This window comes from Homo sapiens, chromosome 7 (genome assembly GCF_000001405.40).
Source record: "Homo sapiens chromosome 7, GRCh38.p14 Primary Assembly".
NCBI lineage: Eukaryota > Metazoa > Chordata > Mammalia > Primates > Hominidae > Homo > Homo sapiens.
Window position 1 is genome coordinate 5,391,215 of NC_000007.14, and position 21,210 is coordinate 5,412,424.

The 21,210-nt window shown below is 52.3% G+C and overlaps 1 protein-coding gene across 16 annotated transcripts in view, besides 5 other annotated features; it reads right to left on the bottom strand.

Moving 5' to 3' along the window:
• Window positions 1-21,210, bottom strand: part of TNRC18 (trinucleotide repeat containing 18) — a 117,024-nt gene that overhangs the window by 84,404 nt on the left and 11,410 nt on the right. For 15 of the 16 annotated variants that reach the window (XM_017012737.3, NM_001080495.3, XM_017012728.3 and 12 more), the window contains one exon: window positions 3,226-3,381. In XM_017012737.3, coding sequence (XP_016868226.1) covers window positions 3,226-3,346 — 121 coding nt within the window. In that variant the 5' untranslated portion in view covers window positions 3,347-3,381. Of the gene's footprint in view, window positions 1-3,225; window positions 3,382-15,935; window positions 16,061-21,210 lie in introns of all 16 variants that reach the window. The other variant, XM_047420983.1, reaches the window with a different exon arrangement.
• Window positions 6,418-6,787: an enhancer, noted in NCBI's record as "active region_25576". NCBI's record gives its function as "activates an Ori minimal core promoter by ATAC-STARR-seq in GM12878 lymphoblastoid cells {active_cell/tissue: GM12878}" and the evidence as "EXISTENCE:reporter gene assay evidence [ECO:0000049][PMID:35858748]".
• Window positions 10,210-10,711: an enhancer, noted in NCBI's record as "H3K4me1 hESC enhancer chr7:5441055-5441556 (GRCh37/hg19 assembly coordinates)". NCBI's record gives its function as "activates a minimal SCP1, AML or CMV promoter by ChIP-STARR-seq in primed H9 embryonic stem cells {active_cell/tissue: H9 hESC(primed)}" and the evidence as "EXISTENCE:reporter gene assay evidence [ECO:0000049][PMID:30033119]".
• Window positions 13,142-13,643: an enhancer, noted in NCBI's record as "H3K4me1 hESC enhancer chr7:5443987-5444488 (GRCh37/hg19 assembly coordinates)". NCBI's record gives its function as "activates a minimal SCP1, AML or CMV promoter by ChIP-STARR-seq in primed H9 embryonic stem cells {active_cell/tissue: H9 hESC(primed)}" and the evidence as "EXISTENCE:reporter gene assay evidence [ECO:0000049][PMID:30033119]".
• Window positions 16,486-17,075: an enhancer, noted in NCBI's record as "OCT4-NANOG-H3K27ac-H3K4me1 hESC enhancer chr7:5447331-5447920 (GRCh37/hg19 assembly coordinates)". NCBI's record gives its function as "activates a minimal SCP1, AML or CMV promoter by ChIP-STARR-seq in primed H9 embryonic stem cells {active_cell/tissue: H9 hESC(primed)}" and the evidence as "EXISTENCE:reporter gene assay evidence [ECO:0000049][PMID:30033119]".
• Window positions 17,076-17,665: an enhancer, noted in NCBI's record as "H3K27ac-H3K4me1 hESC enhancer chr7:5447921-5448510 (GRCh37/hg19 assembly coordinates)". NCBI's record gives its function as "activates a minimal SCP1, AML or CMV promoter by ChIP-STARR-seq in primed H9 embryonic stem cells {active_cell/tissue: H9 hESC(primed)}" and the evidence as "EXISTENCE:reporter gene assay evidence [ECO:0000049][PMID:30033119]".

Here is a 21,210-nt window from a genome sequence, read left to right on the forward strand (position 1 = left end):
GAATTCCTCCCACCAAGGATCCTCCCCGCCTCCCCAAAGGCCACCCCCTCACCAGCAATGCCCAGCACCAGCATCAGGACGTGCTGACTTCAACTATTCAGATTTTTTTTTTTTTGAGACAGAGTCTTACTCTGTGGCCCAGGCTGGAGTGCAGTGGCAGGATCTCGGTTCACTGCAACCTCCACCTCCTTAGTTCAAGAGATCCTCCTGCCACAGCCTCCTGAGGAGCTGGGATTACAGGCGCCTGCTACCACACCCGGCTAATTTTGTATTTTTAGTAGAGATGGGGTTTCACCATGCTGATCAGGCTGGTCTCGAACTCCCGGCTTCAAGTGATCCACCCACCTCAGCCTCCCAAAGTGCTGGGATTACAGGTGTGAGCCACCACATCCGGCTCAGAATTTTTTAAAAATAAAAATAAACAGAATTGGGACCTTGCAGGACAAAGAAAGAAGGGGTAGCCATGGAGAGAGGAGAAGTCACCTAAGAGAGCACACAGAGGCCAGGCATGGTGGCTCACACCTTTAATCCCAGCACTCTGGGAGGCCGATGGGGGAGGATTGCTTGAGCCCAGGAGTTTGAGACCAGCCTGGGAAACATAGTGTGACCCCATCTCTATTTAAAAAAAAAAAAAAAAAATTTAAATAGTTTTTTTTTTTTAAAGGGCACACAGAATGACAGCCCTAAGAGGCAGGCAGGTGCTAGGGTGCTGGGTAAGGGTCCTGATTCTCTGCCTAAGCCCAGAGTCCTATGGGATCCCAGGCCAATTAGAGATCTCTCAGGGACTCAGGTACCCCATACCCAGCTGCCCCTGCTAAGGCCAGGGATGCAGGACCTGTCCCTGGTCCACTGGGCCGATGTCTTCTCTCCAGCACCGCCTTGTCAATAATCATGCCATTGACAACACCCACAAACAAAAGGGCTACCCGATACCTGTTCTCTCATCCAATCATTCAAACAGCACTCCCAGCCGGAGCAGTGGCTCATGCCTGTAATCCCAGCATTTTGGGAGGCCGAGTTGGGTGGATCACGAGGTCAGGAGTTCGAGACCAGCCTGATCAACATGGGGAAACCCCATCTCTACTAAAAATACAAAAAATTAGACGGGTGTGGTAGCAGGCGCCTGTAGTCCCAGCTCCTCAGGAGGCTGTGGCAGGAGGATCTCTTGAACTCAGGAGGCAGAGGTTGCAGTGAACCGAGATCAGCCTGACCAACATGGTAAAGCCCTGTCTGTACTAAAAATACAAAAATTAGCCAGGCGTGGTGGCGCACGCCTGTAATCCCAGCTACTCAGGAGGCTGAGGCAGGAGAATTGCTTGAACCCGGGAGGTAGAGGTTGCAGTGAGCCAAGATTGTGCCACTATATACTCTAGCCTGGGCGACAGAGCAAGACTCCATTTCAAAAAATAAATAAATAAGTAAAATACAACCAACAATAAAAAAACAGCTCTCCCACACAGGCATCAGGTCTCTGCTCTCCCGTCTGTAAAATGGACCTAATGGGCTTAATAGGCCGGGCACAGTGGCTCATGCCTGTAATCCCAGCACTTTGGGAGGTCAAGGTGGGACGATCGCTTGAGCCTAGCAGTTCAAGACCAGCCTGGGACACATGGTGAAACCCCAACTCCACCAAAAACGAATACAGTAGTTAACCGGGCGTGATGGTGTGCACCTGTAGTCGCAGCTACTCAGGAGGCTGAGGTGGGAGAATGGCTTGAGCCTGGGAGGCGGAGGTTGCAGTGAGCTGAGATTGCACCACTGCACTCCAGTCTGGGCGACAGAGCAAGACCCTGTCTCAAAAAAAAGGGCCTAACAGTCCCTCCCCCGGGCAGGGCTGGCTCTGAGGCTGAAGTGAGCTGAGTGTGCACTGGGCTGTGGTAAGCACCCTGTGTGTTTGTGGTCATCACTAGGATTTGTTGGCCAAAGAGAAAAGTCTCAGGGACAGAGAGGTAGTGAGCTGGTGGCAGACAGTCCCGAGAGGCAGGCTCTCCTCATCCAGACCCTCTGGCATCTGCCTTGGCTGGTTAAAGTGGGAGGCTCAGGTGCGACCCCAGCCTAGAAGGCCCACTCTGTGCAGGCTGGGCACCCTCGTGCCTGGATTCAGATGCCTTCCCCAGAGTGTCCAGGAAGAGCAGACTCGCTGACCTCATCTGTACAATGGGCAAAGTACTGTAAGGACTGGATGGGGTCCTGTGACTAGAGACGCCTCTGGCTGAACCTGTCTCCTCCTGGGCTGAACACAGCAGCCGCAGGATTCGGGATGACGGTCAGACCTGGCCCCGCAGGAGGAAGTGGAGGGAGAGTGGCTGGGGAGGGCCGGAAGAGCCCTAAGCCTGCAGCAGGAGCTCCAGGGCTGCAACCTTCCAGGAACCACGAGCACCTACAGGACACCTGGGAGGAGGAAGGAGGAAGGAGGGAGGAGGGAGAAGGAAGTACCTAGCGCCCAACATCCAGAACCTGTCAAAGCCAGAGAAGACAGAGGAGCTTGGAGGTCTGCAGGCCCATTCCTTTGCAGGCAGAAAATCAAAGTGAGGCTCTAGAGAAATCCAGAATCTGCTCACGACCCCGGGGAAGCCAGGCCTGCAGAGCCCCTACATTGAGGGGCATGGCTGCAGAAATGCAGAAGAAAAGGCCCCAACAGCCCCAGGTCCCCCCGCTCTGGGAAATTTTTTTTGTGGAGATGGGGTCTTGCTATGTTGCCCAGGCTGGTCTCGAACTCCTGCCCTCAGGTGATCTTCCCACCTCCACCTCCCAAACTGTTGGGATTACAGCTGTGAGCCACCATGCCCGGCCTGCTCCTGTAATTATTAATGAGCCTACTGTGTACCAGGGATACAGTGCTGAGTAGATCACACTAGGCCCTGAACTCAGGGCTCACTCCGGTGGGAAAGCGGGTAGTTCATGAATGATGAGATAATCTGTCGTCACAAGCAAGTGATGGAAGTGGGTGCGGAAGAGGGGGTCTCTGAGCTGAGCCGGAGGAGGACTGGAAGGTGGTCTGTGGCATGGGGTGTCAGGCTGAAAGGAGAGGAAACAGCTCATACAAATGCCCTGTGACAGTGACAAGAAGAAGCCCTGAGCGTTTGAGAAACAACAGGGAAGCCAGGTGACCTGGGACCCACCAGCCCCAGCTCAGCGATGACAACAGAGGGGCACATGAAGTGGCCAGAGTGGCTGGGACGTCAGCCCAGCAGCCCTCAGCCCCGACCCCGGCATGTTCCTTACCTTCATGGGCGTGGGCGGCCCACAGCTGCACCATGGGCAGGTTGCTAGGGGTTGGGGAGCGGAAAGACAGGTCAGAGGGCAGTGGCACTGGGCTCCCATGGGACGAGGCCGAGGGCCCCATCCCGCTGGCCACAAAGCTGCCCAAGAAGGCCTCGCCTGCAGAGAGAAGTTGGGAGGACCGTCAGGCAGACAACCAGGGAGGCGCCGCCGCCCCAGCCCACCGCCCCGACCCACCGCCCCGAGACCGCCGCCTCTCCCCAGCTGTGTGGAGCTGATGCTGGCCAGGAGACCAAAGAGGGTTCCCCTGCTCCGGCCCCACCCCTGGGCTGCAAGATGGTCCTGGATCAACCCAACCAGACCCAGGGCTTGAGAAAGCACAATACGGCAGGAAGCCCCCCACAGCAGACCCTCAGCCCTGGGCACCCCGCACCCTCGGAGGAGGGCCTTCCACCCCTGCCGCCCAACCAGCCCAGATCCGGCCCGGCACCATTCTCCCCATCTGCAGGTGGAATCCTGAAGTCGGTGGCGCACTGGGACTTCCAGAGGCCACAGGGCAAGGCGGTGGGGGACTTACAGGCGGGGGGCTCATATGCTGAGCTCTGCAGGCCCAGAGAGGACACCCACCCTCCAGCCAGAGAATCACCTCCCACAGCAGCCCTAGCCAGCCCCGTGTGCCCATTTCACAGAAAAAGAAGGTGAGGCTCAGAGATGGGAAGTGCCAGGTCACACAGCCAGAAAGCAGGGACTCAGAATGCAGCCCTGCAGGGTGTCCCCCAGCCCATGGCTGGCACCACCGAGCCACAGTGGCTTAGGGAATGAATCCGTGATGAATGGAGCGGCAGGCGTGGGGGCCGCTAAGGGAGCCCCGTGGAGGGCAACCCCTCCAGACAGCAGGCCCCACCCCGGGGTCACTGCCAATAGGGGCCACGGGGCAGACTGCTGCTCAGAAACATGATGGAAATCAGCAGGGCCTGGGTGGAAGCCACAGCCAGCCCCGCCATGCCCCACGTGGCCAGGCCCACATCGGACAGGGTGCCTCCCAGCTGCCACCCAGGGGCTCTGTCCCACGAGCCCCAAACGCCATCCCCTCTAAGGGAAGACCCTGGCAGGCCTCTGGGTCACAGGTCAGAGAGAAGCATGCAGGCCCTGGCGCACGGGGCTTCCCTTACCAGGTCTCGGTTTGCACATCAACAAAATGGAGATAAACATGCCTCCCTTCGGGAATGATAGGGAAGGAAGCATGTGTTTAACCACAATGACAATATAATGAGGCCGAACACGGTGGCTCAAGCCTATAATCCCAGCACTCTGGGAGGCCAAGGCAGGCGAATCACAAGGTCAGGAGTTAGAGACCAGCCTCACCAACATGGTGAAACCCCGCCCCTACTAAAAAGACAAATACAAAAAATTAGCTGGATGTGGTGGCGGGCACCTGTAGTCCCAGCTACACGGGAGGCTGAGGCAGGAGAATCGCTTGAAGCTGGGAGGCGGAGGTTGCAGTGAGCTGAGATCGCTCCACTGCACTCCAGCCTGGGCGACAGAGAGAGACTCCGTCTCAAAAAAAAAAAAAAAATGCTAAAAATTAGCTGGGCGTGGTGGCGGGCACCTGTAATTTTAGCTACTCGGGAGGCTGAGGCAGGAGAATCACTTGAAGCCCGGAGGCGGAGGTTGCAGTGAGCCGAGATCGCTCCACTGCACTCCAGCCTGGGCGACAGAGAGAGACTCTGTCTCAAAAAAAAAAAAAAAAAAATGCAAAAAATTAGCTGGGCGTGGTGGCAGGCACCTGTAATTTTAGCTACTCGGGAGGCTGAGGCAGGAGAATCACTTGAACCCAGGAGGTGGAGGTTGCAGTGAGCTGAGATCGTGCCACTGCACTCCCGCCTGGGCAACAGAGTGAGACTCCGTCTCAAAAAAAAACAATATAATGATAAATAATGACAACAGGCCGGGCAAGGTGGCTCTCGCCTATAGTCTCTGGAGGCTGAGGCGAGAGGATGGGTTGAGCCCAGGAGCTGGGAGACTGCAGTGAGCTGTGACTGCAATTACAACACTGCACTCCAATCCAGGCGACAGAACAAGACCTGGACTCAAAATATAAATAATAACAATAACCAGCCATGGCACCCATTCGCTAAAAGCTGGAATGCACCAGGCACCGTGCAGCTGATTTCAAATCCTCCCAGCAACACCCTCAGGAGGTGGCAGCAAAGCACCTCCAGCTGGGTGCTACCACTGGCCAGCCCCCAGCGGAGGGATTCCGTGTGTACCCTAGAGCTACCTCCTTTAAGGCCCTGTGTTGTGAGCACTGTTTACAGGGGGCATGGATAAGTTATGTGGCTTTGCAGGAGATGTGGGCTCCTAGATGGCCCCGGTCCAGCCTGTGGGAGCTCACAGATCCCAGTCCAGCCTCTGAGTCCCCAGTGCCTCCCTTCTCCCCAATAAAGGGCCTGTATACAAGTGCTCACTGACCGCCTCCCAGGGGCACAGGATCCCAGAATATCCAACCCATCTTCTTTGGGGTACATGTGGGGAAACTGAGGCAAAGAAGGGCAGGGCCTCCACCTTGGGCCCCAAAGACAGGAGTGGGCAGAGCAGCAAGGGGTGCCCTCGGGCCACACGCCATCACCACCACCCCGTGTCCGGCCCCCAACACTCCAGTCCAGCCAGGCCCAGCCCCCTCACCGGACTCCAGCGCCAAGCCCTCGGGCCCCGGGGCCTCGGTGGCCAGTCAGTTCATCCATGCGGCCCAAGCCGGGGCAGCAGGGCCTCCAAGCCCTGCTGAGCCCCGGGCTTCCGCCTTGCTGTGGCAGGCGGGTGGGTAGAAGGCTCCGGAAGCCAGCAGCCAGGGTTTGCGCAAGAGCTTACATCAGCCGCCAGCTCTTCCTGCCGCAGGCTGCACGGAAGCCTAATGGCCCAGGCCGGCCCCTGCCCGGGCTTGTGAAACCCGCCCAGCAGCACCCAGGCCCGGATGCCAGCCAACGGCTCCTGCCCACCACAGGGCTCAATGGCACCCAAAGCCCCTCCTCCCAGGCTGGGCGGGGCAGCCGGGAACCCCCAGCATCCCCAGCAAGGCAGTGCCGTTCTCAGTGCCTCAGTCTGCCACTCTGTAAAATGGACACACAATCCCCACTCAGCTATGGCGATGAGGCCAGCGTGCCACCCCCCTCACCTCACTCTCCAGAACAAACAAACTTCTCCCTGGTCACGTCAGGAGCCTGCCCCTTTCCCGCCTGGCCCGTCAGGCACGAACTCCCAGGCCTCCTAGAATGCTCCTCCTTCACTCCCACCTCGGGTCTCCCTGGGCCCCAGAGAAGCCTCCAACAGCCACACGACCCAAGCAGGCCCCAAGTGACCTGTGACCACCCACAACCCCTCGGAAACAGATCTGCCAGCCTCCTTGTGGATTTCATGCCTCTGTCTTCCCCGAGAGACAGTTCCCTCCTTGAGGGCGGGGACTATCTTCCTTACTTCCTGCCATATCACAGTGGCTGGAACCTGCCACCTGTGACCTGCCACCCAGGACATACTTCTATTTGGGATTACCCAATTGCACGAGTGTTGTTTCTTTTTTTAGAGACAGGGTCTCACTCTGTTCAATTCACCCAGGCTGCAGTGCAGTGGCTCGATCATAGCTCGCTGCAGCCTCCAACTCCTGAGCTCAATCAATCCTCCAGCCTCAGCCTCTTGGGTAGCTGGGACCACAGGCACACATCATCAGGCCCAGCAAAAAAAAATTTTTTTTTTTTTGAGATGGGAGTTTCGCTCTTGTTGCCCAGGGTGGAGTGCAATGGCGCGATCTCGGCTCACCGCACCTTCCGCCACCCGGGTTCAAGTGTTTCTCCTGCCTCAGCCTCCCAAGTAGCTGGGATTACAGGTATACCCCACGACGCCTGGCTAATTTTGTATTTTTAGTAAAGATGAGGTTTCTCAATGTTGGTCAGGCTGGTCTCGAACTCCCAACCTCAGGTGATCCACCCGCCTCATCCTCCCAAAGTGCTGGGATTACAGGCGTGAGCCACCGTGCCTGGCCACCCAGCTAATTTTTTTCTTTTTCTTTTTTGCAGAGATGAGGTCTTGCGATGTTGCCCAGGCTGGTCTCAAACTGCAGGCCTCAAGCAATCCTCCTGCCTTGGCCTCCCAAAGTGCTGGGATTACAGGCATGAGCCACCGTGCCCGGCCTCTTTTCTTTTTTTTAAAGACAGGGTCTCTCTCTGTTCACCCAGGCTGTAGTGCAGTGGCTCAATCATAGCTCACTACAGCCTCCAACTCCTGAGCTCAATCAATCCTCCAGCCTCAGCCTCCTGGGTAGCAGGGACCACAGGCACACACCATCACACCCCACTAATTTTTTTCTTTCTCTTTTTTGTAGAGATGGGGTCTTACTATGTTGCCCAGGCTGGTCTCAAACTCCTGGCCTCGTGCGATCCTCCTGCCTTGGCCTCCCAAAGTGCTGGGATTACAGGCATGAGCCACCCTGTCCAGCCATAAATGTGATTTCCAATGTTCCCAGGGCCAACGCAAAGAGATACACATTAGGGTGAGGAGAGGATCAAGGCATCCCGCAACTCACAAAAGAGGCTCTAAAATAAACCCCGAAGAAGCACAGCCCATGCCAGGCCATCCTGCCTGGTCTCCTTCCATCTCTAGACTATACTCCAAGCCCCCACAGTGCCCCCCTGCCCCACCCACTGCTCACACCCACACCCAAGGACCGAGCAGTTGCCATCCCCCCGTTTCACCAAGAAGGATGCAAGCCTCAGGGTGCCAGGGGGCACTGAGTTAGGCCCAGAGCTCACTGGCCTCTCGAAAGACTTGACTGGAATCCCTCATACCAACCTGCGGTATGGGGGTCTCCCTGCCTCTCGCCCTAGGCTGAGCTCAAGACCTGGCTCCCCAAATCAAGTAACTGGCTGCCGCCTACTCACCCCAGTTATTATCTCACCCGACACCTTAGAAGCTAAGACCAATGACCGTCAAAACCTAAAACACACACCTGGGCACAGTGGCTCACACCTATAATCCCAGCACTTTGGGAGGACGAGGCGGGCAGATCACTTGAGGCCAGGAGTTCAGCCTGGCAGACATGGTAAAACCCCATCTCTACCAATAATACAAAATTAGCCGGGCGTGGTGGCACACAACTGTAATCCCAGCTACTCAGGAGGCTGAGGCAGGGGAATTGCTTGAACCCAGGAGGCAGAGGCTGCAGTGAGCCAAGATCGCGCCACTGCACTCCAGCCTGGGCAACAGTGCGACACTGTGTCTCAAAAACAAAAACAAAAAAACCTAAAACACACAGCCGGCACGATGGCTCACACCTATAATACCAGCACTTTGGGAGGCCTAGGCGGGTGGATCGTGGATCACTTGAGGTCAGGAGTTCGAGACCAGCCTGGCCAACATGGCGAAAACCACCCCCCGCCCCCGCCCCGTCTCTACTATAAATACAAAAATTAGCTGGGCGTGGTGGCAGGCGCCTATAGTCCCAGCTACCTGGGGAGCTGAGGTGGTGCGATCATGACTCACTGCAGCCTCAACCTCCCGGGCTCAAGCAATCGCCCCACCTTTGCCTCCTGAGTAGCTGGGACTGCAGGTGTGCACCACCATGTACAGCTCATTTTTATTTTTTCTTTTTCGTAGAGTCAGGATCTCACTATGTTGCGAAGTCTGGGGTCTAGAATTCCTGGGCTCAAGCGATCCTCCCACCTCGGCCTCCCAAAGTGCTGGGATGACAGACCTGAGCCATTGAGCCTGGTCTATGATTATTGTTATTATTTATGGTTACAAACCCTGGAGCTCAGAGAAGCTAAAAGCACCTACTACAAGGTCAGAGTCCGTGTCTGCTTCTAGCCAAATGCCATTTGTCCTTGCTTAAAACAAAAATTCAGAGCTGGGAGTGGTGGCTCATGCCTGTAATCACAGCACTTTGGGAGGCAGAGGCGGGCGGATCACCTGAGGTCAGGGGTTCTAGACCAGCCTGACCAACATGGTGAAACTCCGTCTCTATTTAAAATACAAAAATTAGCCGGGCATGGTGTCGTGTCCCTATAGTCCCAGCTACTCGGGAGGTTTTTAGGAAGGAGAATCACTTGAACCTAGGAGGTGGAAGGTGCAGTGAGCCGAGATCACGCCACTGCACTCCAGCCTGGGCGACAGAGTGAGACTCTCTCTCAAATAAATAAATATTCAATTTTGAAACCATAGATAGCTGGTGATTACACAGGATGAATACACCAAACACCACTAAAGTATACACATTTCAAATGGTTAATTGTATGCCACGTGAATTTCACCTCCATGAAAAAAATGCAAGCTGTAGCCTGGCGTGGTGGCTCACACCTTTAATCTCAGCACTACCAGAGGTCAAGGTGGGCAGCAGATCACTTCAGCCCAGGAGTTCAAGACCAGCCTGGGCTGATAGAGACTCTTATCTCTACAAAAAAATACAAAAAAATTAACCGGGTGTGGTGGTGCACGCCTGTAACCCAGCTACCCTGGAAGCTGAGGTGGGAGGATTGCTCGAGCACAGGAGGCTGAGGCTGCAGTGAGCTGAGATTTCGTGCAGCCTGGGAGACAGAGCAAGACCCTGTCTCAAAAAAAATTTATTAAAAATTAAAACTAAGGCCAGGTGCGGTGGCTCACGCCTGTAATCCCAATGCTTTGGGAGGCCGAGTGACTCACCCACCATGTCTGGCCCACCAATGCAATCTTCCCTCTGCAACAGTAGTTGCTGGGGACCCTTCTAGAAACTGTATGGTGGGCACCTGAAGTCCTCCCTGGTTCGAGTCGGGGGGGGGCGGGGGGGCTGCATGTGATCATGATAGGGATATAAGTTCCTTAAACAGCAAAGAACCAGAAGGCTTTGTCACTGCCAATGGGCTAGTCCAGAGTAGCTCCGGCCCACCTCTGCCCCTCGCCCTGAATCAGGTCCTCCCTCCAGATATACAGGGAAGACCCTGCACACTCCCGCCTGTCTATACCCTAACTCCTTCACTCCCTTCTCTTACAGCTCAGCCTTCCCTGTCCTTTTTCACATTGCAACTTACCCTGCCACGCCCTTTCCTGAAATGTTTTTCTCCACTGCTTATCACCTGTTATCACAGGTGTTAGTTCCTTATTGTCTCTGCCCACTGAAGACAGCAAGCTTTTCTTTGAAAGGGTGTCTGCTGCCTGTTGCCAGGAAAGCACCCAGACAGTAAACGATTGGGCGTTGCTCTGTACCAATAAAACTTTATTTACAAAAACAAGACGTGGGCCACATTTGGCTAGACTGCTCACCCCAGCATTACTAGGTATGCTACGAGTTATTTTTTATTCCTAGTCCTATGCTGCACATCGGAGGTACTCAAGTAGTATTTACGGTAGGAACTGGGCACAGTGGCTCATGCCTGTAATCTCAACACTTTGGAAGGCCAAAGTGGGAGGACCGCCGGGAGCTTAAGAACGGCCTGGTTGGCCGGGCGTGGTGGCTCACACCTGTAATCCCAGCACTTTGGGAGGCCGAGGCGGGCAGCTCACAAGGTCAGCAGATCAAGACCATCCTGGCTAACACGGTGAAACCCCGTCTCTACTAAAAACAAAAAGAAAAAATTAGCTGGGCGTGGTGGCGGGCCCCTGTAGTCCCAGCTACTCCGGAGGCTGAGGCAGGAGAACGGCATGAACCCGGGAGGCGGAGCATGCCGTGAGCTGAGATCATGCCACTGTACTCCAGCCTGGGCAACACAGCGAGACTCTGTCTCAAAAAAAAAAAAAAAAAAAAAAAGAACAGCCTGGGCAACAGAGCAAGACCCCATCCCAAAAAAATTTTTTTTAGGCCAGGCACAGTGACTCATGCCTGTAATCCCAGCACTTTGGGAGGCCAAGGCAGGCAGATCACTTGAGGTCAGGAGTTTGAGACCAGCCTGGGCAACACGGTGAAACTCCATCTCTACAAAAATTAAAAACAATTAGCCATGCATGGCGGTGTGGGCCTGTAATCCCAGCTACTCAGGAGGCTGAGGTGGGAGAATGACTTGAGCCCAGGAGGCGGAGGTCGCAGTGAGCCGAGATCGCGCCACCACACTCCAGCCTGTGACAGAGCGAGACCCTGTCTCAAAAAGACAAAAAAAAAAATTAGAAAATAATATTTATGCGGCTGGGCGCAGTGGCTCACGCCTGTAATCCCAGCACTTTGGGAGGCCGAGGCAGGCAGATCACCTGAGGTCAAGAGTTCAAGACCAGCCTGGTCAACGTGGTGAAACCGCATCTCTACTAAAAATATAAAAACTAGCCGGGCGTGGTGGTGGACGCCTATAATCCCAGCTACTCGGGAGGCTGAGGCAGGAGAACTGCTTGAACCCAGGAGACAGAAGTTGCAGTGAGGCGACACAGTGCCACTGCACTCAAGCCTCGGCGACAGAGTGAGACTCTGTCTCAAAAAAAAAAATATATTTATGGTGTGGAATGGGGGGGCAAGGTCCTGATTAGCTGGAGGAAGGGTGCCCAGGCCTTCCCTGCAGCATTCTCTGGGACCTGCTTCTCTACCCTGTGCTCCCCACTCCTGTCAACGGGGAGAGGGATTGGTGTCCCTTTTACAGATAAAGAGACTGAGGCTCTCACTCCCAAACCTACACTTCTCCACTCAGCCGCACCACCCAGACAAAGCAGAAGCGTCTGTTAGACATAGGTTGCACATTTTCAATCCCAGACAGCCCTTCATAACCAAACACATTACATTTTATCTTCACTTTTTTTTTTTTTTGAGACAGAGTTTCACTTGTTGCCCAGGCTGGAGTGCAATGGCGTGATCTCAGCTCACCGCAACCTCTACCTCCCGGGTTCAAGCAATTCTCCTGCCTCAGCCTCCCGAGTAGCTGGGATTACAGGCATGCACCACCACGCCCAGCTAAATTTGTATTTTTAGTAGAGACGGGGTTTCTCCATGTTGGTCAGGCTGGTCTCGAACTCTCGACCTCAGGTGATCCGCCCGCCTCGGTCTCCCAAAGTGTTGGGATTACAGGCGTGAGCCACCATGCCCGGTTTATCTTCACGTTTTAAAACATCTTGACCTCTCACAACAACTGCATCCCAGACTGCGGTGTGGTGGCTCACACCTGTCAATCCTAGGACTTTGGGAGGCTGAGGCAGGAGTCGTTTGAGGCCAGGAGTTCAAGACCAGCCTGGGCAACCTAGCAAGACCCCATCTATACAAAAAAATTAAAAAATTAGCCAGGCTTAGTGGTGTACACCTGTAGTCCCAGCTACGTGGGAGGTTGAAGGCACGAGGATCATTTGAGCCCAGGAATTAGAGGCATTGAGCTATGGTTGCACCACTGCACACCAGCCTGGGCAACAGAGTGAGACCCTGTCTGTTTAAAAAAAAAAAAAAACTGCATCCCTTAAAATGTCAACAGACTATCAGAGCATCTCATAGACTCAGTCAAACCAGAATTGTCACCCAGGAAAGGCATTATTCTGGCCCTAAACACTGACAGGTAACATAGGTGTTTCCGAGATAGCAGCTAAAAATCCTGCAAGGACCCTCTAGATAGAATGACCTTCAAACTCCCATAGATCACAAGATCCAGAGAGTTCTGTAATATCTAAGCCAAAGAATGGGTTAACACTCTGGCTATATAAAGATTCTCAGAATGCCATAAGAATCCCAGGCAGGGCCGGGGGCGGTGGACCATGCCTGTAATCCCAGCACTTTGGGAGGCCAAGGCGGTTCGATCACAAGGTCAAGAGTTCAAGGCCAGCTTGGCCAATGTGGTGAAACCCCATCTCTACTAAGAATACAAAACTTAGGTGGGTGTGGTGGCACATGCCTGTAATCCCAGCTACTCAGGAGGCTGAGGCCGGAGAACTGCTTGAACCTGGGAGGCGGAGGTTGCAGTGAGCCGAGATCACGCCACTGCACTCCAGCCTGGGCGACAGAGCAAGACTCCGTCTTGAGAAAAAAAAAGAATCCCAGGCAATTTGAAAAAGAGAACCTGTAAATGGCTAAACTCCATCGAAATTTCAAGGCCATTAGCATTACAAAGAAGTATTGAAACAGTGATGTCATTTTCATTCCATCAAATCAGCAAATTTTTGCTTCTAGTTGTGGAGGGCGCTGGGTGGTTAGCTGCCCGGGAAGGATGAGAACTGAGCCAATTCATCTCCAGCTTTTGGAAAACAAATCCGCAAGGCTTACCGAGGACTGCAGGCGCCCAGACCCACTTCTGGGGATCCCTCCCAAGGAAACAGGCAGACCTACTTACTGGGATGCTCGCTGCAGCCAAAATGATCTGCAGATTCCATATGCAATCCCCATCAAAACCCCAGCAGCGCATGCACACTTTCAGTGTGTGTGTGTGTGTGTGTGTGTGTGTGTATAAAATGAAAAGGTGTCTCTAAAAAGTATACAGAAATGGCGGAGCACGGTAGCTCATGCCTGTAATCCTAGCACTTTGGGAGGCCGAGGCGGGCAGATTGCCTGAGCTCAGGAGTTCACGACCAGCCTGGACAACACGGTGAAACCCAGTCTCTACTAAAATACAAAAAAAAAATTAGCTGGGTGTGGCTGCATGCGCCTGTAGTCCCAGCTATTGGGAGGCTGAGGCAGGAGAACTGCTTGAACCTGGGAGACAGAGGTTGCACTGAGCCGAGATTCTGCCACTGCACTCCAGCCTGGGCAACAGAGTGAGACTTCGTCTCAAAAAAAAAAAAGAAGTATACAGAAATTAGGCTGGGCACAGTGGCTCACACCCATAATCCCAGAACTTTGGGAAGCTGAGGCAGGAGGATCACTTGGGCTCAGGATTTCAAGACCAGACTGGCCAACAAGGCAAAACCCTGTCTCTACTAAAAATACAAAAGTTAGCCAAGGCTAGGCACTGCGGCTCACACATGTAATACCAACACTTTGGGAGGCTGAGGCGAGTGGATCACTTGAGGTCAGGAGTTTGAGACAAGCCTGGCCAACATGGTAAAACCCTGTCTCTACTAAACATACAAAAATTAGCCAAGTGTGGTGGTGCGCACCTGTAATCCCAGCTATTAAGGAGGCTAAGGCAGGAGAATCCCTTGAACCCGGGAGGCGGAGGTTGCAGTGAGCCGAGATTGTGCCACGGCACTCCAGCCTGGGTGACAGAGCAAGACTCCGTCTCAAAAAAACAAAACAAAACAAAACAAAAAGCCAGACATGGTAGCTTGTGCCTGTAGTCCCAGCTACGCGGGAGGTTGAGACAGGAGAATCACGTGAACCCAGGAGGGGGAGGTTGCAATGAGCCGAGATCATACCACTGCACTCCAAGCCTGGGCAACAGAGCAAGACTCTGTCTCAAAAACAAAAAATAAAAATAAAAAGTATACAGAAATTAGCCCAGGCACAGTGGCTCATGCCCATAATCCCAACATTTTGAGAAGCCAAGGCAGGAGGATCACTTGAGCTCAGGAGTTTGAGACCAGTCTCGGCAACATCAAGAGACCCGTTTCTATTTTAAAAAATAAAAATAGAAAAGTATGCAGACGTTGAAATCCAGAACTCGAACACGTATTTGCACACCCATGTTCATAGCAGCACTATTCACAACAGTCAAAGGGTAGAAAGAACCCAGCTGTCCATCTACAAATCGATAAACAAAATGGGGTCCATCCAGCCAGTGGAATATTATTCAGCCCTGAAAAGGAAGGACAATCCGATACATTCCACAACAACGTGGATGTACCTTGAGGACATGAAGCTGAGTGAAATAAGCCAGACATAAACAACAAATACTAGGGCCAGGTGCAGTGGCTCACGCCTGTAATCCCAGCACTTTGGGAGGCCGACGGGCAAATCATTCGAAGTCAGGAGTTGGAGACCAGCCTGACCAACATGGTGAAATCCCATCTCTACAAAAAATACAAAAAATAGCCCATTGTGGTGGCGGCACCTGTAATCTCAGCTACTCGGGAGGCTGAGGTGGGAGGACTGCTTGAACCCAAAAGGCGGAGGTTGCAGTGAGCCGAGATTGCGCCACTGCACTGCAGCCTGGGTAATAGAGCGAGACTCTGTCTCAAAAAAAAATTTTTTTTTAATGTTTTTAAAGACAAATACTGTGTGTGATGCCACTTTTGAGGTACCTACAGTACTCACATTCACAGAGACAGAAAGCAGTAAGTAGAGGCCGGGCCCAGTGGCTCAAGCCTGTAATCCCAGCACTTTGGAAGGCAGAAGCGGGCGGATCACCTGAAGTCAGGAGTTCGACACCAGCCTGGCCAACAGGGTGAAACCCCGTCTCTACTAAAAATACAAAAATTAGCTGGGCATGGTGGCAGATGCCTGTAATTGAAGCTACTCAGGAGACTGAGGCAGGAGAGTCACTTGAACCCAGGAGGCAGAGGTTGCAGTGAGCCGAGATTGTACCACGGCACTCCAGCCTGGGCGACAGAGCGAGACTCTGTCTCAAAAAAAAAAAAGAAAGAAAGAAAAGAAAAAAGAAAAGAAAAGAAGAGCCAAGAAGTGAAAAAGGAAAACAGACAAATTCCTATCAACACCCCCACCTCCCTGCCAGCCCCCAGCGTTCCTGCAGGGAGCTAGGGCCTTGAACCCCTCACCTCCCGCTGTGGGACCTGGGGGTGGGCGTCTCACACTCTCTGAGCCTAAAATGGCAAGATTCTGTGCCCCGGCCTCGCAGGGACGTCTGGGGCACCCCCACACTCCGGTGATAGAGCTCGAGGCTGGGGTGGTGGGACAGGGGGCTCACCCTGCACGTCCTTGGCACTGCGGCTGGGCTATCAGACCTGTGGCCACCGCCGCCGTTCTGGAACTCCCATCGGCGCAGAAAAGAGGCAGGTGAGAGTCCGAGGCTGCAGTCTCCTCCAAGCTATGCTGGGACCAGAACCAGGACCAAGACTGCAGTAGCCACCAGCCCAGATCAACCCGCTTCAGCCCTGCCCCACCTGGGGCAGGAGAGCCTGGGGGCTGGCCCCAGGGAGGAGGGAGGCCCACCCCAACCTCTTCACCCCATCCTGCCCCTCCTACACCTCCAGCCTCCGCTCCAGCGGAAAGCCATCCCTGACTTCCCCACCAGGTGAGCAGATTCCCAAAGATCCATCAAGCTGGGCTCCCAGTTACTCCCCACCTGGGATCACAGCACCAGCCGGCAATTCTGGCTTAATTCCAGTCCCTCTCCCATCCTCAAATATGGGCAGGGACTTTGTCTTGCTCCAATCAGGTACCCAGCCCACAAAATAAGTGTTCGAATTTAAATAAAGGGAATCCCAAAGGCGGCCAAGGAGAGGTCAAGGCCTCAGGCCAGCCAATGATATGCAAATACGTCCATCTCAGCCTTGCCCCTAGGGCTCCAGACTTTGTCAATTCTCATGCAATCACAAAGGATTTCCCCAGTGACTGGTTTCCCCCCTACCGAGACTCCACCTCCCAGGGTGGAAAAAGAGGTAGGGGTGGAGGGCCTTCTAGGAACTGCTCCAGAAAAAGCTAGAAGACATCAGATGCCTCTTAGCAGAGACAAAAGAACCAGATCTCCCAGGCAAAGTAGCAAGAGAAGGAGTGTGAGCCTACAAGAGACTGCACAGTATTTGATCTTTACAAATCCTTTCCCAAACACCAGAACCTCACAAAAATGACAGTAATACAAAAAGGAACAAAAGTGGCCGGGCGCAGTAGGGGTGGATCACGAGGTTAGGAGATCGAGACCATCCTGGCCAACATGGTGAAACGCCGTCTCTGCTAAAATACAAAAATTAGCTGGGCGTGGTGGCGCGCGCCTCTAGTCCCCACTACTCAGGAGGCTGAGGCAGGGGAATCTCTTGAACCCGGGAAGCGGAGGTTGCAGCGAGCTGAGATCGTGCCACTGCACTCCAGCCTGGCGACAGAACAAGACTTCCGTCTCAAAAAAAAAAAAAAAAAATGGAACGAAAGCAAAATAGGAGAGAAGTGGAAAGGAGGAAACATCCCCCTGGCCAGGCGCATAGCTCACGCCTGTAATCCCAGCACTTAGGGAGCCCACGGCGGGTAGATCACCTGAGGTCAGGAGTTTGAGACCAGCCGGGCCAACATGATGAAACCCTGTCTCTACTAAAAATATAAAAATTAGCCGGGTGTGGCAGCGCGTGCAGCTACTCGGGAGGCTGAGGCAGGAGAATCGCTTGAACCTAGGAGGTGGAGGTAGGTTGCAGTGAGCCAAGATCACGCCACTGCACTCCAGCCTGAGTGACAGAATGAGACTCCGTCTCAAAAAACAGAAAGAAAAAAAAACCATTTGGAAGCAAGAAAGCAGAGAGACAAGAGATGTGCGGCCTGGCACAGTGGAGAGTGGGGAAAAGAAACACTTAGGCTTGGAGCAGACAACCAGGAAACCAGCAATTCTGGAGACTGAATCCAGAGACCCTAGTACCTGTAAAGCCAGGGATCACGGAAAAGCTGAGGACAAGAGAGTTGGTTTCACCACAGAAGCACTGACCCCTCTGTTTACTAGGGAAAGATGGAACCACTGAGGGTATGCATTCTCAGGACTAGGGTGTGGACCAAAGGGAAAACAGGAATCAGAGTGCGAATCATCAACCTTAACATGCACACTCAGCTCTTGGGACAGGAACAGCCTGGCTTCAACGTCAACAGACAAGAAACCGCTGAATTCTTGCCTGTGAGATATACAAGGTCAACAAGGAAAGATCTTTTTACAGAGGGCATTCAAGAAGCTCCTCAATGGCCAACAAGCCCCACCCTTACATCTGAATCCCATCTGCTTTTTCTTAAAGAAGGGGCACCTGAGAATGATTATCAGCAGGTGCCCACGGGAAGTCTCCAAGGTGAAAGAGAAAAGAGAAAAAAGACTCAGAGAAAACAAAGACAATGCATGAAAGAAGAAAACGCCAGGGGAAAAAAATACAATTAATATCCTAGTAATGGGAATTAATGTATGCATGAAACAAGAACAGGATGCTATTAAAAAAAAAAGCAAACTCAGGTTATAAGAGCTCTTGGGACATAAAAATATGATAGCTCAAATTTAAAAATTAAATTCGACAAAAACTAGCCAGGCGTGGTGGCGCACCCCTGTAGTCCGAGAAGGCTGAGGCAGGAGGATCGTTTGAGCCCCAGTCGTTTGAGCTCAAGGTTGCAGTGAGCAGTGATTGCACCACTGAACTCCAGCCCCAGTAACACAGGGAGACCCTGTCTCAAAAAAATAATAATAATTAAATCGAAAGGTTAGAAGATACCATTAAGAAAATATTAAGAAAATCTCCTAGAAAGAAGAAACTGCAAGATATAGAAAATACAAAAGAAGGCCAGGCGCAGTGGCTCACGCTTGTAATCCCAGACTTTGGGAGGCCGAGGCGGGTGGATCACGAGGTCAGGAGATCGAGACCATCGTGGCTAACATGGTGAAACCCCGTCTCTACTAAAAAAAAAAAAAAAAAAAATACAAAAAATTAGCCAGGCGTGGTGGCCGGTGCCTGTAGTCCCAGCTACTCGGGAGGCTGAGGCAGGAGAATGACATGAACCCGGGAGGTGGAGCTTGCAGTGAGCCGAGATCGCACCACTGCACTCCAGGCTGGGTGAAAGAGCAAGACTACGTCTCAAAAAAAAAAAAAAATTTTTTTTTAAATTCAATGATCAGATCAGACGCAGTGGCTCACACCTGTAATCCCAGCATTTTGGAAGGCTGAAGCGGGCAGATCACTTGAGGCTAGGAGTTTGAGACCAGCCTGGCCAACCTGGTGAAACCCCATCTCTACTAAAAATACAAAAATTAGCCAGGCATGGTGGCACACGCCTGAAATCCCAGCTACTCGGGAGGCTGAGGAATGAGAATCATTTGAACCCAAGAGGCAGAGGTTGCAATGAGCCAAGATCATGCCACTGCCCTCCACCCTGGGCAACAGAGCAAGACTCTGTCTCAAAAAAAAAAAAAAAAAAAAGAAAAGAAAAAATTCAATGATTAGCCCAGGAGACCCAGGATATCTAACTAATAGGAATACTAGAGAGAATAGCAAAAATACTGGGAAGGAAATTTAAAAATAAAAATAATACAAAAAATTTCAGAATGAAAGTCTTGAGTTTCCAGTTTGCTACAGTCTATGCAGCACCCAAGACAGTAAATGCAAAAAGACCCCATAACAAAACATATCAACATGAAATTTCAGAACAGTGATGAAGAATAACAATAACCGTGGCCAGGCGGAGTGGCTCACGCCTGTAATCTCAGCACTCTGGGAGACCGAGGTGGGTCAATCACCTGAGGCCAGAAGTTCGAAACCAGCCTGGCCAACATGGTAAAACCCCATCTCTACTAAAAATACAAAAATTAGTCGGGTGTGGTGGCATAAGCCTATAATCCCAGCTACTTGGAAGGCTGAGGCTTCAGCGCTTGAACCCGTGGTGGAGGTTGCAGTGAACTGAGATCTCGCCACTGCAATCCAGTCTGGACAACAGAGTGAGACTCCATCTCAAAAAAAAAAAAAAAAAAAAAAAAGGGAAGAGAAAAGAGAAGAGGAGAGAAAAGAAAGGAGAAGGCTGGGCGTGGTGGCTCACACCTGTAATCCCAGCACTTTGGGAGGCCGAGGCAGGTGGATCACTTGAGGTCAGGAGTTTGAGACCAGCCTGGCCAACATGGTGAAACTCCGTCTCCATTTTAAAAAATACAGAATTACCCGGGCATGGTGGCACATGCCTGTTAATCCCAGCTACTTGCTACTTGGGAGGCTGAGGCAGAAGAATCGCTTGAACCCAGGAGGTGGAGGTTGCAATGAGCTGAGATCGTGCCACTGCACTCCCGCTTGGGCTACAGAGTGAGACTCCATCTCAAAAAAAAAAAAAAAAAAGAAAAAAGAAAAGGAAGGGGGAGGTGGGGAAAGGTTCATACACAAAGATCAGCAATCAAAAATGGCATCATATTCCTGAAAAGTAGCAGTCGAATATGGAAGGTGATGTTGCAATTCTTTCAAAATCCTAGAGGGAAGGCCGTGTGTGGTGACTCACACCTGTAATCCCAGCTACTCAGGAGGCTGAGGCAGGAGAATCACCTGAACCCGGGAGGCAGAGGTTGCAGTGAGCCAAGATGACACCATCACACTCCAGCCTGGGTGACAGAGCAAGACTCTGTCAAAAAAAAAAAAAAAAAAAAAATTCCTAGAGGGAAAGTATTTCCCAAATAGCACTCAAGTGTGAAGGTAGAACAAAAGCATTTTCCAGGCATACTAGGACCCAAAAACGTTGCCTTCCTCTCACCCTTTCACAGAAAGCCACCGCAGGATGTGCTCTACAGAAAGAAGGGAGTAAAACAGGAAACGGGAAGGCAAGGGAATCAGACACACAGGAGAGAGGCAAAGGGAGTCTGAAGAACAATGGCTCTCCAGCACACCCAAGAACCGGGCCAACCAGACTAGAGAAGGAAGATGGAAAATTCCAGGAAGGAAATCTCCAAAAAAAACAAAGCAGCTCATCCAATAGATATGACAAGTGAAAAAAATGCATCAAGGGACCAGAAGGCTGGCTGGGCATGGTAACTCACACCTATAATCTCAGCACTTAGGGAAGTCCAGGCAAGAGGATTATTTGAGCTCAGGAGTTCAAGACCAGCCTGGGCAACATAGCGAGAGACCCCATGTCTAAAAAAAATTTAACAGTTAGCCAGGTGTGGTGGAACGCACCTGTAGTCCTAGCTACTTAGGAGGCACTGAAGTGGGAGGCTCATTTGAGCCCAGGAGGTTGAGGCTGTAGTGAGCCACGAGAATGCCACCACACTCCAGCCTGCGTAACAGAGCGAGACCCAGCGTCTTAATAAAAAAGAGAGAGAGAAACTGGAAGCCAGATATTCTAAGAAATTCCAAATGAAAAAAAAAAAAAAAAAAAAAAGACATTAATTCCAGAAAATGAATTTTCGGCTGGGCATGGTGGCTTACGCCTGTAATCCCAGCACTTTGGGAGGCCGAGGTGGGTGGATCACCTGAAGTCATGAGTTTGAGACCAGTCTGGCCAACATGGTTAAACCCCATCTCTACTAAAAATACAAA